This window comes from Homo sapiens, chromosome X, assembly GCF_000001405.40.
Source record: "Homo sapiens chromosome X, GRCh38.p14 Primary Assembly".
Taxonomy (NCBI): Eukaryota; Metazoa; Chordata; class Mammalia; order Primates; family Hominidae; genus Homo; species Homo sapiens.
Window position 1 is genome coordinate 14,337,807 of NC_000023.11, and position 16,129 is coordinate 14,353,935.

The 16,129-nt window shown below is 36.4% G+C and overlaps 1 annotated feature.

Annotated features, from left to right (window-relative positions):
• Nucleotides 13,979-14,670: an enhancer, noted in NCBI's record as "OCT4-NANOG hESC enhancer chrX:14369907-14370598 (GRCh37/hg19 assembly coordinates)". NCBI's record gives its function as "activates a minimal SCP1, AML or CMV promoter by ChIP-STARR-seq in naive H9 embryonic stem cells {active_cell/tissue: H9 hESC(naive)}" and the evidence as "EXISTENCE:reporter gene assay evidence [ECO:0000049][PMID:30033119]".

Consider the following 16,129-nt stretch of genomic DNA (forward strand, 5'->3'; position numbering starts at 1 on the left):
GACAGAGACTATGTCTTATTTGGCTATCTCCTAGAACAGTACCTGGCAACACCAGAGGCTCTTTTAAGGAAAATTTAAATTTAAAATTCATAATAAAAATCGATCAAGCAGGAGTTCAATAAGTAAGCATAAATCTAAAATGCACAATAAAATCAATCAATATCAATATATACTTCCCCTGTCACTTAAATCTCTGATTAAGGATAAAACAGCAGCAAATATCTCCACCAACTCTCTTTTCTCCATATGTTTTCCTCTCTTTTTTCTTCAGTAGAATCAAGGGAGAAAGATTTGAACTTCACTGTGTGATTCTATTCATATAGAGTGGTCATAAAAATGTAAATACAAGAATAATGGGCACAAATCTACCTTATTTTCTTAGTGGGGCAGAAGTATTTATTTCAAGCTCCTCTTTTACTACACTGTTCTCTACTCATCACCTATCTGATAAGAAGCATCTCATGGCTTTATCTATAAATTACTTTTTCCCAGGGCCCAGTAATTTTCATCACTAGTCTCACATCTTCTACAAATCCTCGATGTCTCATGACAGAGCTAAATTTGGTATTCATGGTACAGTCTCTAGAGCAGTAAGGCACAAGATGACTCCAACTTCCCTCACTCGACTGGCTTCCTTTCTGCCATCTTATCACATTTATTTCCAAGATATTATTGACTTTTCTTAATCTCCTCTCTCGTGTTTTAATTTACTTTCCTCTTACTTGCCATAGCTGCTTCCTTAACCACATCACACCTCACTCCATACAGATTCTTACCTTTCACTGTTTTCTGCTGTTAGGACATGGAAATTGACAATGTTCTAGTCATATTTCTTTTGCTCTTCCATCCGCATTTTTTTATCTTGCAAATTATCATTATTTTAATTATTGGATTCAATAGGAGATGCTAATCTCCCATCCCCCTATAATTCATTTTAATAGCAAGTTGTGATGACATGGTCACTTTTCTCTTTCATATCTTTAAGCCCATCATTAAACCCTTTAAATCCAAGGCCAAACCCATGATATTAACCTTTAAGGTGAATATCATCATCCTTTCCCAATATGTACCCACTTCTGTGGTTTCTATCATTGTCATGGTAACATATTTTCTTGACCTTTTTCAAACTTCCCCTGAAGTTAACTACCATTTATTACAAAAGAGGGAATTAGTAATGAGGATAAGCCATACAAAAAATATTCCTTGGAGACTCCTTATGAAGAACATTAGAGTTAGGCAACTAGGGCTGTGATTCAGAAAGATAACCCTTGGTTTCTCAAAGTGACAAGCTCTAAATGAACCCCAATTGCCAGCCAGTAGCAGATTCAGTATGCATAAGTCATGACAAAGTAACCCTATTTACATTTTTGACAGGTTTCTGAGTCCAGGACTTCAGTGAGACATTTACAAAGCTTTTGGGGTAGCCTTGTGAACCATGTATGAGGAAGAATGTGGATGGAATGATCTTATGGCTGCATGAATATGTGGATGGCTAATCATTACTACACAAAGAACCTTGATTAATAGGGCTAATAAACTTTTTATATAAAGGACCAGGTAGTAAATATTTTAGGCTTTGTGGGTAGAACTACTCAAGTCTGCCATTATAACCCAAAAGCAGCCATAGACAATATATATAGGAATGAATTTAACAGTGTTCTAATATAATTTTATTTATAAAAATAGGCAGTGGGCTGGATTTGGCCCATGGGCCATAGTTTGTTGACCTTTGTCTTAGGGTCTAAGCTACCAGGGGGTATGGCTATCTCATGCAACTTTTAGTCACCTGTACAGCATACAAATTCAAAACCTCCAAACTGCAACTTCATTGTTGTCTTTAATATCTGGAACCCACTGCACTGTGTTAGTGTTCACAACTGCTGACACACCTATGTTCACATGCAGAAACTAAATCACCATGGAGAAGTTTTCTTATATTCTAACTAGTATCATATATCCTCAGAGAGAGAAGAAGCATTGAGTCCTTTTACTATGGAAATCAGTGCAGATTAAGAATTAATGTACACATAGATGAGCTCATAAAAACATAAGAAAATAGCAGTTAATTAGAAATTAATGCTAAAATGCTAAAATTCTTAGATTGAAGCAACTACATCACACTTGAATTGTTAATATAGCAATTAAGTTGGCCGCCTATGAAGTACTTGTTAATAAATACTTCATGAAGACTTCTGTTAAAGGAGAGTACAGCAGCTTTGTTAAATCTAAGTTTATATGGTCTTGAAAAATGTACTCAATGTGTTCTTTTTGGAAGCTTTAGTCATGGTGGCTTCTTGAAAGAATTCTTGCTACAGATTAATTTCTTTTTTTATTTTTTATTTTATTTTCTTATTTTTTTACCCTTTACCCAGTTTTTGCCAATGGTAACACCTTGTGAAACTATAGAATGACAGCACTCCCGGGATATTGGCATTGATATTACAAGATGCAGAATATGTAAATCAACACAACGATCAGTCATGTTACTCTTTCTAGCCACACACACTTCCCTCCCACCTCCACACCCTCGTTAACTTCTGGAAATCACTAGTTTGTTCTTCATTTTGTTATTTTTTAAAGAATGTTACATATATGGAATTGTACAGCATATAACTTTCGATGGTTAGCTTTTTTTTACCAGCATAATTCTCCAGCAGTTCCTCTGGGTTGTTGGTGTGTAAATAACTCATTCATTATGTTTTCCTAAATTATAATTTTTTGTATACATATGTAACAAACCTACATGTGTTCACAGGTACCCTAGAACTTAAAGTGTAATAAAAAATAATAATAATAAAAAGATTAATTTCAAATATGTTTTCTTTTCTGAAACTAAGGCTCAATACAAAAAGATTCTCAAAATGTAGTTTGAGGAATAGCAGCATCAACATTATCAGGGAACTTGTTAGAAATGTCAGTTCTTATGCTTCATTCCAGACTTACTGAATCAGACACCCTAAGGTGAGGCCCAGAAATCTGTGTTTTAACAGCTTTTCCAGTTATTCTGATGCAGCTCAAGTTTGAGAACAACTGACTTACAACACTGAGGATTAATTGCAAGCAAGGTTCAGCTGTGTGTGTCCTAGATCGTGTGCATGGAATCTGCACATTGGAATTATTTGGGGTGATTCATAAATACTGATGCCTGTATTCCATTCCAGAGACTTTGATTTAATTGTTCATGGGTTTGGCCTGGGATTTAAAATGTCTAGAAATTTCGCAGGTGATTCTAGCCTGCAGACAACATTTAGTAAACACTGCGGTAGAGGAAGCCATACTCCAACCGAAACATGGTAGGAAAAACCCTATGTTTGATGACATAGGAATGAACGTCTGCTTCTTAGTTCCCTTTCAGGTTACATTTAGCTCTATTTTGGTTGAAAAGTGTTTTGTTTGTTGTGTTTGCCTTTGTAAAAATCTTAAGGTCTTAATAGTAACAGCTTAGATGTGCTCTTTGTGATACCGAAGAGCGATACATAATTGTATGGATACGTGTAATGTTTTGGCTACATTAAATGTAGATTCTTTACACACACACACACACACACACACACACACACACTTATCTGTTGTGCTGAAAGCCCACAGTGGCATGTGCACCATGCCGTTTGCATTAGTAGATGAAATCCTATAGATGTAAAGAAGGTCCGTTCTATATATTGAAAGATAACGTTATGAAATGAAAAATAAAGAACAAAATGATAAACAAACACATCAACATCTTAAAGGATTTTGAAACTATACTAAAACAACTTGGGTCAAAGAACAAAAAATCATCAACTGTAGAACATCTAAAAATAATGATAATGCGAATTATCTACATGGGATATGGATATTGTTTCCAGATGATAAGTCACTTATTAAACCAACAAAAATAAAATTAACAAATTTAGCAGTTAACTTAGGAAGTAAATAACAAGAAATATAAGCCCAAGGAAAGCAGAATAAATATATTACTCAAATAAAAAGACATGAATAAATAAAATTCAGAAAAAATGTGTTTTCTTTAAACATTAGGAAAATATAGAAGAACCCCTAACTAGTCTAGTTATGAAAAAGATAAATCTCAGCAAACAAAATTAGGAATAATATAAGACCATCATATACACAGAGGAAATAGAAAAGAATTATAAAAATACTCTACATACTTCCATGGTAGCAATTTTTAAAACTTGGATAAAGTGAAAGGATTTCTAGGAATACATATTTAAAAATATATCCAGAAAGAAGCAGAAAACTTAAACAGACCAATAACTATAGAAGAAAAAAACGCTTTACAGGTACATTTTTCCGAGTCTTTAAATTTGAGATATTCCTAAACAATTAAGACAGTTCCAGGGAATAGAGAAAAAAAGGAACTTTTTTTTTGCTTTTTGTTTTGTTTTGTTTGTTTGTTTTTTATTATACTTTAAGTTCTAGAGTACATGTGCACAACGTGCACGTTTGTTACATAGGTATACATGTGCCATGTTGGTTTGTTGCACCCATCAACTCGTCATTTACATTAGGTATTTCTCCTAATGCTATCCCTCCCCCAGTCCCCCACCTCCTGACAGGCCCCAGTGTGTGATGTTCCCTGCCCCATGTCCAGCTGTTCTCATTAGGAACATTTTATTTTTTTACAAAGTCAGAAGCTAGAGTAATGCTGACAAGCATACCTGACTTTCAGAAAGATTTTCATTGACTGGGATGAGAAAGAGCAAAAGGGAGAGGAATGAGAGAGGGAGACAAACTGATGATTTCACAAGGACTTCACAAAATTGATCTTAGGAAAGGTAAATTTTATTCGCTCAAATGTGAGGCCAGGAAACATCCTTGAGCCTTCTGGAGCTTTCCATTATCCAGAGATGAATGGCCTCACAGAATTATTTCCCTGATTCTAAATCTCCATTGACTATATGTTTTAGTCCATTCTGCACTGCTATAACAGAATACCTGAGAGTGGATAATTTATAATCAATAGCAATTTGTTTGGCTCATGGTTGTAGAGGTTGGGAAGGCCAACATACTGAGGAAATGCATCTGATGAGGGCCTTCTTGCTGATCCATAACATGGTGGAAGGTATCATATAACACATGCACGAGAGAGAGAGAGAGAGAGAGAGAAGAAGAGAAGAGAAGAGAAAGGAAGGGAACGGGGGGCGAACTCATCCTTTTATCAGGAACACACTCCTGTGATAATGGTACTAGTTCCTTCATGATGGTAGAGCCCTCATGACCTGATCGCCTCTTAAAGAACCCACCTCTCAACACTGTTGCCAACACATAAACTTTGGGAGACACATCAAAACCATCACACTATATAACCATCAATTTAACTATAGATACTATAAAAGTAAATCAAACTATATTTGATGTGCCTAAAACAAAAAACACATATTCATATACTTATGTGTAATTTTCTTTTCAGTATCACAAGATTGTGTCAAGCCTTTTTCACACTGCAGAGTCAAAAAATTCCTGGGACTCACTGTCATGGGTGATGGGCTGCATTTCAAAATTTGAGCTGCTGAACCTGACTTCTCCACTAGCTTTAGGATGACAGTACGTTAGGAGGGATATCTAAGAAAACCAGGGCTGTACCTGTGTTTTTTATTTGGTAAACCATGGTGATATGGTTTGGCTGTGTCCCCACTCCAACCTCATCTTGAATTCCCATGTGTTGTGGGAGGGACCTGGTGGGATGTGATTGAATCATGGGGGCAGGTCTTTCCTGTGCTGTTCTTGTGATAGTGAATAGGTCTCACGAGATCTGATGGCTTTAGAAAGGGGAATTTCCCTGCACAAGCTCTCTTTGCCTGCTGCCATCCACGTAAGATGTGACTTGCTCCTCCTTGCTTTCTGCCGTGATTGTGAGGCCTCCCCAGCCATGTGGAACTGTAAATCCAATAAAGCTATTTCTTTTGTAAATTGCCCAGTCTTGGGTACCTCAGCCATAAGTCATGTTGATAGCCTATACTCTTGATATGATGTAATGGGAATGGCATCTCTGTGGTATTCCTCCCCAAAACTCATAACCCTTGTCTAATCATGAGCATGAACATGGACTAATACACCTAGTTTGATTTTTTGATCAAATCACGTATTGCTGGAAGAGATTCATCTTCCCTCGAAAGTCAGCCAGAATCTTCGGACCAATGGCTTTTTGGTGCCTGGGTAATAGTCCCTTGTCATATGTGTGTTAACCACACCAACCAGTCCTGGATTTCAGAATCTTCTGGCCTTTTCCAGGATATCTGATTTATACTGCCTTTGATTGCCTGTCTTGATATTTTACCAGAAATCTTATATTGAACAATAACTTCTTTTTCCAATGCAGAATAAGAGTAGAATATTTTTAAAAACCATTTTAAAAGACAATTGCCAAAATCTTGGTTTGTATTACCATTCAAAAGGAACTAGGGCTCCTTGGTGAAATGATTGATTCTAGGCCTGTGGCTATAAATATACAAGGCATGCCTGGAGCATCTTGTAGTGACAGAAAGAAAGAAAATGCTCAAAACAATTTAAAAAACCCACAACTATTGGGGTATGTCAAGGGACATAAGAGTCAACTGAAAGACCCCCCTAGTGGACAAAGCTGGAAAATTTGAGCAATAAAATAAAGTAGTATAGGAGTATAACCCAGTACATAAAATAAATATCCAGGAGGCAATATATATATAAATAAATGATTAAATAACGAATTAATGACATAAATAGAGAAGAGACAAATCTACTGTGCTGACAAATTTCAAATAATTTATGTAGATACTCTTCCCTCATGGAGGTGGAGCATTACTCCCCACTTTTAATGTGTGGGATGTGCATAGTGACTTCGTTTCAAAGAGTACAGTACAAAAAAGGTGGAGTAAGTAACTTTATGGTGGAGACATCTGACAAACACTACCTCAGTCAGGTAATTAAGGTTAACCTCAGCCATAAGTCATGTTGATAGCCTGTACTCTTGATATGATGTGATGAGAATGGCATCTCTGTGGTATGCCTTCCCAAAACTCATAACGCTTGTCTCATCATGAGACAAACATCAGACAAATTCTAATAGAGGGTCATTCTACAAATAGCTGACCAGTCTTCCTTAAAACTGTCAAGATCATCAAAAACAATGAAAATCTGAGAAACTGTCAAAATCAAGAAGAATCTAAAAATATATGACAACTAAATATAATGTGGTATTCTGGATGGGATTCTGGAAAAGAAAAAAGAACATTAGGAAAACTAAGAAAATATGAATAAAATATTAACTTCAGTAATAATAATATATCAATATTCATTAATTAATTGTGACAAATATACCAAACCACTGCCAGATATTAATAATAGGGGAAACTTGGTCTGGAGTAGACAGAAACTTTGTATTATATTTACAACTTTTCTATAAATGTAAAATAATTTTAAAACAAAACATTTAAAAGAAATAAAAGAAAGATAAGAAAGTAAACATAAATTAAAATGTAATTGTGGGTAGCACTTTTAAAGCAAATATCTCAATGAAGGTGGCCATCAGATAAATAGATTTCTTTAATACATATCTACATTTAAATAGTAAGACAATAACAACTCAGTCAGTATTTTTTCTCTCTTCTAATATAAATTTTTAAAATGCATATTTCAGAAATATTAAAATCTGAAAAAGTCTAGTTAGAATATCAGATAATTGATTCATTTTAGTGCTTATGTTGAATTATAGTTTATAATAGAAAAACATCTATTTATATTGCCTCCAAAGCTGTGACCTCCTCAAGAGTAGAAATTAGTCTTATTTGTCTGTCTTCACAACACCCAGAAACACAGGTGCTTGACTGTGTTTGAAGTACGGTATGTGTGGTTGAATGCATGTTGAAATTAATTCATTGATTGATTAATAAGCGTTCAACTCTGTCAACCAGGGTGATTATAAAGATGGAGAGGGAGCAGTAAAGGGAACAAACACACAAACTCACAAACACACAGCAGAAATTCTGTCTCAGCCAGCTATTTTCTCAGAGCCCTTTATTCATGTAAGTGGTTTTAGCTAGTTCTTATAGGTGTGTTGTTTAAGTTGAAGCATCCTGATGTCAAATTGACTATCATATGATTATTCTTTTGAGTGATTTTTTATTGACACATAATATTTTACATATTTATGGATTACATGCATAGAGTGTGCAAGTCAGATATTTTTGGTATCCATCAGCTTGAGTATGTATCATTTCTTTTTTTTAATTTTTTTTATTATACTTTAAGTTCTAGGGCACATGTGCACAACGTGCAGGTTTGTTACATATGTATACATGTGTCATGTTGGTGTGCTGTACCCATTAACTCATCATTTACATTAGGTATATCTCCTAATGCTATCCCTCCCCCCCCTCCCCCCACCCCACGACAGGCCCCGGTGTGTGATGTTCCCCTTCCTGTGTCCAAGTGTCCTCATTGTTCAATTCCCAACTATGAGTGAGAACATGCAGTGTTTGGTTTTTTGACCTTGAGATAGTTTTCTGAGAATGATGGTTTCCAGCTTCATCCATGTCCCTACAAAGGACGTGAACTCATCCTTTTTTATGGCTGCATAGTATTCCATGGTGTATATGTGCCACATTTTCTTAATCCAGTCTATCATTGATGGACATTTGGGTTGGTTCCAAGTCTTTGCTATCATCACCTTGAGTATGTATCATTTCTATGTGTTGGGAACAATTCAAAGTCCTCTCTTCTAGCTACTTTGAAATATAAAATACATCATTGTTAACTATAGTCACCCTACTCTGCTGTTGAACATTAGAACTTATGCCTTCTATCTAAATGTATGTTTGTACCCATTAACCAACTTCTCTACATCCTCCCTCCTCTCACATACCTTCCCTAGCCTCTGATATCTGTCATTCTACTCTCTGCCTCCATGAGATCAACTTTTTAGCTTCCATATATGAGTGAGAACATTTGATATTTATCTTTCTGTGCCTGGCCTATTTCACTTAACATAATAACCCCCAGTTCCATCCATGTTTTACAAATGACATGATTTCATTCCTTTTTATAGCTGAATAGTATTCCATGTGTGTATATACCACTTTTTCTTTATCCATTCATCCACTGATGGACACTTGATTCCACATCTTTGCTATTTTGAACAGTGCTACAATAAACATGAAAGTGCACATATTCCTTTAATAAACTGATTTCTTTTCATTTTGATGAATACCACGTAGTGGCATTGTTGGGTCATATTGTAGTTTTATTTTTATTTATTTATTTATTTATTTATTTTTTTGAGATGGAGTCTTGCACTGTCACCCAGGCTGGAGTGCAGTGGCGCGATCTCGACTCACTGCAAGCTCCGCCTCCTGGGTTCACGCCATTCTCCTGCCTCAGCCTCCCAAGTAGCTGGGACTGCAGGCACCCACCACCATGCTCAGCTAATTTTTTTGTACTTTTAGTAGAGACAGGGTTTCACCATGTTAGCCAGGATGGTCTCGATCTCCTGACCTCGTGATCCGCCCCCCTCGTCCTCCCAAAGTGCTGGGATTACAGGCGTGAGCCACTGCGCCTGGCCTCATTTTTAGTTTTTTGAGAAATCTTCATACTGTTTTTCCGTGGTGGTTGTACTGATTTATATTTCCACCAACAGTGTGTAGGAGTTCTTTTTATCTGTATCCTCACTGAATTCTGTTATTTTTTGTCTTTTTAATAATAGCCATTCTCAGATAAGATGATATCTCATTGTGGTTTTGATTTGCAATTTCCTGATTATTAGTGATGTTGAGCATTTTTTCATATAACTGTTGGCCATTTGTGTGTCTTCTTTTGAGAAATGTCTATTCTTGTCCTTTGCCCACTTTTAAATAGAATAATTTGTTTTGTTCCTGTTGAGTTGTTTGAGTTACTTTTATGGTTTAGATATTAGTTGTTTGTCAGTTGAATAGTTTGTAAAAATGTTCTGTCATTCAACAGGTTGTCTCCTCACTTTGCTGATTGTTTCCTTTGCTGTGTAAAATCATTTTAGTTTAATATAGTCTCATTTGTGTATTTTAGTTTTTCTTGCCAGTGCTTTTGAGGTCTTAGCCATAAAATATTTGCTTAGACCAGTGTCCTGAAGTATTTTTCCTGTAATTTTTTCTATTAATTTTATAGGTTTGGACTTCACATTTAAGTATTTAATCCATCTTGAGTTGGTTTTTTTATAGGGTGAGTGATAGGGGGCCCGTTTCATTCTTATGCATGTGGCTATCCAGTTTTCCCAGCGCCATTCATTGAAGAGGCTATCCTTTCTCCAGCGTATGTTCTTGGCACCATTGTCAAAAATCAGTTGGCTGTAAGTATGTACATTTATTTTGGGGTTCTTTATTTTCTTCCATTGATCTATATATCTGCTTTTATACCAATACTATGCTGTCGTGGCCATGATAGCCTTTTAATATATTTTGAAGTCGAGTAGTGTGATGCCTCCAGCTTTGTCTTTTTTGCTCAGGATTGTTTTGCTTATTTGGGCTTTTTTTTCATTCCATATGCATTTTTGGAATTTTTTTCTATTTCTGTGAAAAATGATGTTGATATTTTAATGGAGATTGCGTTGAATTTGTAGATTGCTTTGGGCAGTATGGTCATTTTAATAACATTATTTCTTCCTTTCCATGAGCACAAAATGTTTTTCTATTTGTGTCCTCTTCAGTTTATTTCATCAGTGTTTTGTAGTTTTCCTTGTAGAAGCCTTTCACCTCCTTAGTTAAATGGGATTCACTTCTTGATTTCTTTCTCAGCTAATTCATTATTGGTGTATAGAAAATCTACTAATTTTTGTATGTTGATTTTGAATCCTGCAACTTCACTAAATTTATTTATCAGCTCTAAGAGTTTTTTGGTCAAATATTTAGGCCTTTCTAGATATAAGATTGTATCACCTGCAAAGAGGGACAATTTGACTTCTTTTCCAACTTGTATGCCTATTATTTCTTTCTCTTGCCTGAATACTCTGGCCAGGACTTCCAGTACTATGCTGAATAGGAGTGGTGAAAGTGGATACCTTTGTCTTGTTTTAGTTCTTAGAAGACAAAGCTTTAGCTTTTCCCCATTTAGTATGATGTTAGCTGTGGGTTTGTTGTATATAGACTTTATTCTTTTTGAAGCATGTTCCATCTATCACTACTTTGTTGAGAGTTTTTATCATGAAAGAATGTGAAATTTTATTGAATGCTTTTTCTATGTCTATTAAGCCACTTTCACCACTGTTATTCAACATAGTACTGGAAGTCCTAATTACAGCAATCAGACAAAAGAAAGAAATATAAAGCATCCAAATTAGAAAAGAGGAAGTCAAATTATCCTTGTTTGAAGAAGATAAGATCGTAAGTTTAGAAAAACCTAAAGTCTACACCAAAAAAACTATTAGAACTGATAAACAAATTCAGTAAAGTTGCAGGATACAAAATCTGCATACAAAAATCAATAATATTTCTATATGCCAACGTGAACAATCTGAAAAAGAAATCAAGAAAGCAATCCCATTTACAATAGCTACAAATAAAATAAAATGCCAATTAACTCAATCAAAGAAATGAAAGTTCTTTACAATAAAAACTGTAAAACATTGATGCAATAAATTGAAGAAGTCACAAAAATATGGAAAGATATACCATGGTCACGTATTAGAATAATCAATATTGTTAAGACAGCCGTACTATCTAAATCAATCTACAGATTAAATGCAATCCCTATGAAAATACCAATGTCATTATTCACAGAAATAGAAAAAAACAATCCTAAAATGTATATGGAGCCAGAAAATACCCACAATGCCCAAAGCTACCCTAAGCAAAAAGAACAAAACTGGAGTAATCACATTACCAGACTTCAAATTATACTACAATGCTATAATAATCAAAACAGCATGGTACTGACATAAAAACAGACACATGGATCAGTGGAACAGAAAAAAGAATGCAGAGATAAAGCCATATATCTACAGTGAACTCATTTTGACAAAGTTCACAAGAACATATGTTGGGTAAAGGACAGTATCTTCAATAAATGGTGCTGGGAAAACTGGATATTTATATGCAAAGGGATGAAACTAGACCCCCTATCTCTGCCATATACAAAAACCAAACCAAAATTGATTAAAAGCTTAAATCTCAGGCCTCAATCTATGAAACTACTACTAGAAAACATTGGGGGAAATCTCTAGGACATTGGTTTGGGCAAATATTTCTTGAGTAATACCCCACAAGCACAGGCAACCAAAGAAAAAATGGACAAATGGGATCACATCACATTAAAAAGCTTCTGCACAGCAGAGGAAACAATCAACAAAGTAAAAAGACAGCTCACAGAATGGGAGAAAATATTTGCAAAGTACCCATCTGACAAGGGATTAATAACCAGAATATATAAGAAACTCAAACAACTCTATAGGAAAAAGTCTGATAACCCCATCAAAATGGGCAAAAGATCTTGACTAGACATTTCTCAAAAGAAGACATGCAAATGGCAAGCAGGCATATGAAAAGGTGCTCAACATCATTGAACATCAGTGAAATACAATCAAAACTACAATAAGATATCATTTCACCCAAATTAAAATGGCTTTTATCCAAAAGTCAGGCAATAACAAATGCTGGTGAGGATGTGGAGAAAAGAGAACCCTGGTATACTATTAGTAGGAATGTAAATATTGCAACCACTATGAAGAGCAGTTTGGAAGTTCCTCAAAAAATTAAAAATAAAGCTACCATATGATCCAGCAATCCCACTCCTGGAAATATACCCCAAAGGAAGGAAATCAGTATGTTGAAGAGATATCTGCACTCCCATGTTTGTTGCAGCACTGTTCACAATAGCCAAGATTTGGAAGCAACCTAAGTGTCCATCGACTGATCAATGGATCAAGAAAATGTGGTACATATACACAAGGGAGTAGTATTCATCCATAAAAAAGAACAAGATTCAGTCATTTGCAACAACATGGTTGGAACTGGAGATAACTATGTTAAGTGAAATAAGCCAGGCACAGAAAGACAAACATTGCATGTTCTCACTTGTTTGTGGGATCTAAGAATCAAAACAGTTGAACTCATGGACATAGAGAGTAGAGGGATGGTTATCAGAGACTGGGAAGGATAGCGGAGGGGCTGGTGGGAAGGTGGGGATGGTTAGTGGGTACAAAAAAATAGAAAGAATGAATAAAACCTGCTATTTGATAGTACAACAGGGTGACTATAGTCAATAATAACTTAATTGTATGTTTTAACATAAAATAAAAGGAAATGCATTATAGAGTAGAGATTCTCAAACTTTAATATGGCTATGAATCATATTGATCTTACTAACATGCATATTTGGATTTTCTGAGATTCTGCATTGAAAATATTAGCTCCCAGTTGATGCTGATGTTACCAATCTGTGGACAATACTCTAGTATTAATATTCTATAAATTCTTACAGTACACATGAATACTGTACAGCTTCACTAGTTTCAAGGCAGCAGCATAGAATTATGGATCGAAGACTCCGAAGTCGCACAAATATGCTTCAAGTCTTAGCTCTGGGCTTCTCAATATGACCTTGGCCAAGGTTTTCTGTCCCGGCTTCAGTTTTCTTATTTATAAAATTGGGCAAAATGGTGCCAACTCTGGGATATTATTGTGGGGACTGAATGATATAACAAAAGCAGCGTACTTACCACAGTACCTGGCACATAACCCTCAAAAATGGTCAGCTTCATGTTATAACTGCAAATCAGCATTCTATGTGGGAACATGAAGAGTGTCGTTATGGATGGCTCACTTGTGTCACAGCTAGACACTCAGATGGTCACTGCCAGTAGGCATTACTTCTGAACTGCAAGTGGTACAGAGATGTTGAGAAGAAATCAGGACAGACCTGACAGTTTAGGCACAAAGATGAAGTGGGCCTCTGTCAAACAGAAGAGCAAAAGCTAGGAAGAGGGGACTGGCATGGCTTTGTAGTGTCTTGCATGCCATTTTGCAAGTAAAGAAAGGCACATGACTCCCAGCTGCTCGCTGTTTTGTGGTCTGTGGGCTGTGTAACATAGGAAATGGGGAACAGAATCACTGCAGAAGCAGAATGTGCTTAGAGGTGGAAAATGTGGAAATGCAGAAGCAGGAGGGAACCCATCCTGTTACTACTCTTCTCTGTCCCCTTTGTGCTTAGTAACCACCCCCAAGAATGCACCCTTAAGACTCATGCTGGATTTAATCCTGGCAAGTGTATGATCAAAAAACCCCACAGTCCCCAGAGACAGCATTAAAAAGGACCCCGTGGCCTTAACGTGTCTCCTTTGATTCCAAACAAAGGAGCCATATCAACAGGAAACGCTATTGTTTTCTCTCAGTAGGGATGGCTGAAAGTAGCAGCTGTTGTATAAGCCAGCATGCCAACAAAGGGACACAGGGACACATCTTGGAGCTACGAAAGACAGGAAAACAGCAAATGGCATTAATTCTATTTCATCCAAGAGCAAGTGCAGATGGCCTGGAGAGGCAAGGTGACACTCTGGGCAGCAGAATGGAGATGGAGGGGTTGGGGAGAAAGCCATCTATCAAAAACATTGCACCCGTAAGTCCTTTGTGGCCTCCAATAAGAGCAAAGTCATTGTCAGAGGAGGGGTAAAGCTAAAGCAGACCTGAGTAAAATGAGTTTGTTTTTAACTTGTGAAAGAAACTTGACATAGAGAAGGACACATTTTGCAAATTAGCTACAACAGCTCTCACAACACAAAGGCGGAAGGGAACATGAAATTTAGTTCAGCTGGTTATAACTCAGTCCCTTTGCTTTTTAACAAATTCCATTGAGATTAATGTTTTAATCATCTAAGAACAATGTGTGTGCTGCTGTCTTAAAATGAAATTTGTGTATACTTACAACTTATTCATTCATTCAACCAACCTCATTTCCAGCTTCCTTTACTGTTACATGTGGACAAAGAATGTGGTTCTTGCCAAAGGAACTTGAGCAGAAGGAATGTGCTCCAGGCCTGGCCCATAAAATCCTCCCTTGCAGTTCTGCTCTCTTCATTTGACTACAGAACAGAATATATTAGTAGGACCTTCTAGAAGTCTGAGCTATAAGACAGGAGACTGAGCCCTTAAATGGTTGAAAGGAGAAAGCCCAAATGCCCACCTGACCTCATGGCCCCATTATGTGTGTGAGAAATAAATATTTACTGTGTTAAGCCATTTAAACTGGAGTGCCGTGTGCTACAACAGCCAGTCTACCCAGATTAACATGTATGTATAATGCAATGGGAGCATAGAGGATGGACTACCTTAGTCTGCCTTAGTCCCAGGGAATATGGGAAGGCATTGCAGATGTGAAAACACTCAGCAAAGTAGAAGAAGGACTGCAAGTTTACTTACCAGACAAGGGCAGGAGAAAATTTTTGGATGAGGCAAAAGCAAAATCAAGGATAAGAGCTCACTAACAGAGTGGGTTATTTGGGAAACCATGTTTCAGTATGGTTGGAGTCTTAAATGTTAGGGAGGACTGGAGGGGCATGTATACCATTTATTAGAACAGTGTGGGGAACTATGGCCTGTGGGCCAAATCTGGCCTACTGCTTGTTTTTGCACAGCTGGAAATTAATAATAGTTTTATACTTTTAAAAGGCTGAAAAAAATCAAAAGAAGAATATTTTGTGGCACATGAATATTATATGAAATTCAAATTTCACTGCCAGTAAATTAAGTTTTATTGGAATACAGCCATGTTCATTCATTTACGTACTTTCTATGGCTGCCTTTGCACTACAATGGTAGAGATGAGTAGTTGTGGCAGAAACCATAGGGCCTACAAAGCCTAAATATTTACTATCTCTCTCTTTCCAAAAATGTTTGCCAACCTCTGCTTTAGAGCCCTAACTTTATCCCATGTGATAAACTCCATTATTATTCCCATTCTTCACTTCTTGAATCCGTACTCAGTCATGTGACTTTAAATTTCATACCACTGGGTGAAGTGTATTCTTCTGCTTCATTCATGTTGGGCTTGGCCATGCCACTTGTTTTGGTCAATGGAATAAGGGAGAAAGTGATAGTGCACTGATTCCAAGCGTTTCCAATAAAAGAGATCACATGTTTTGCTTTTCCCATTTGTTTTTCTACCAATCTCATGAGAAGGACATGTCCTTCATATC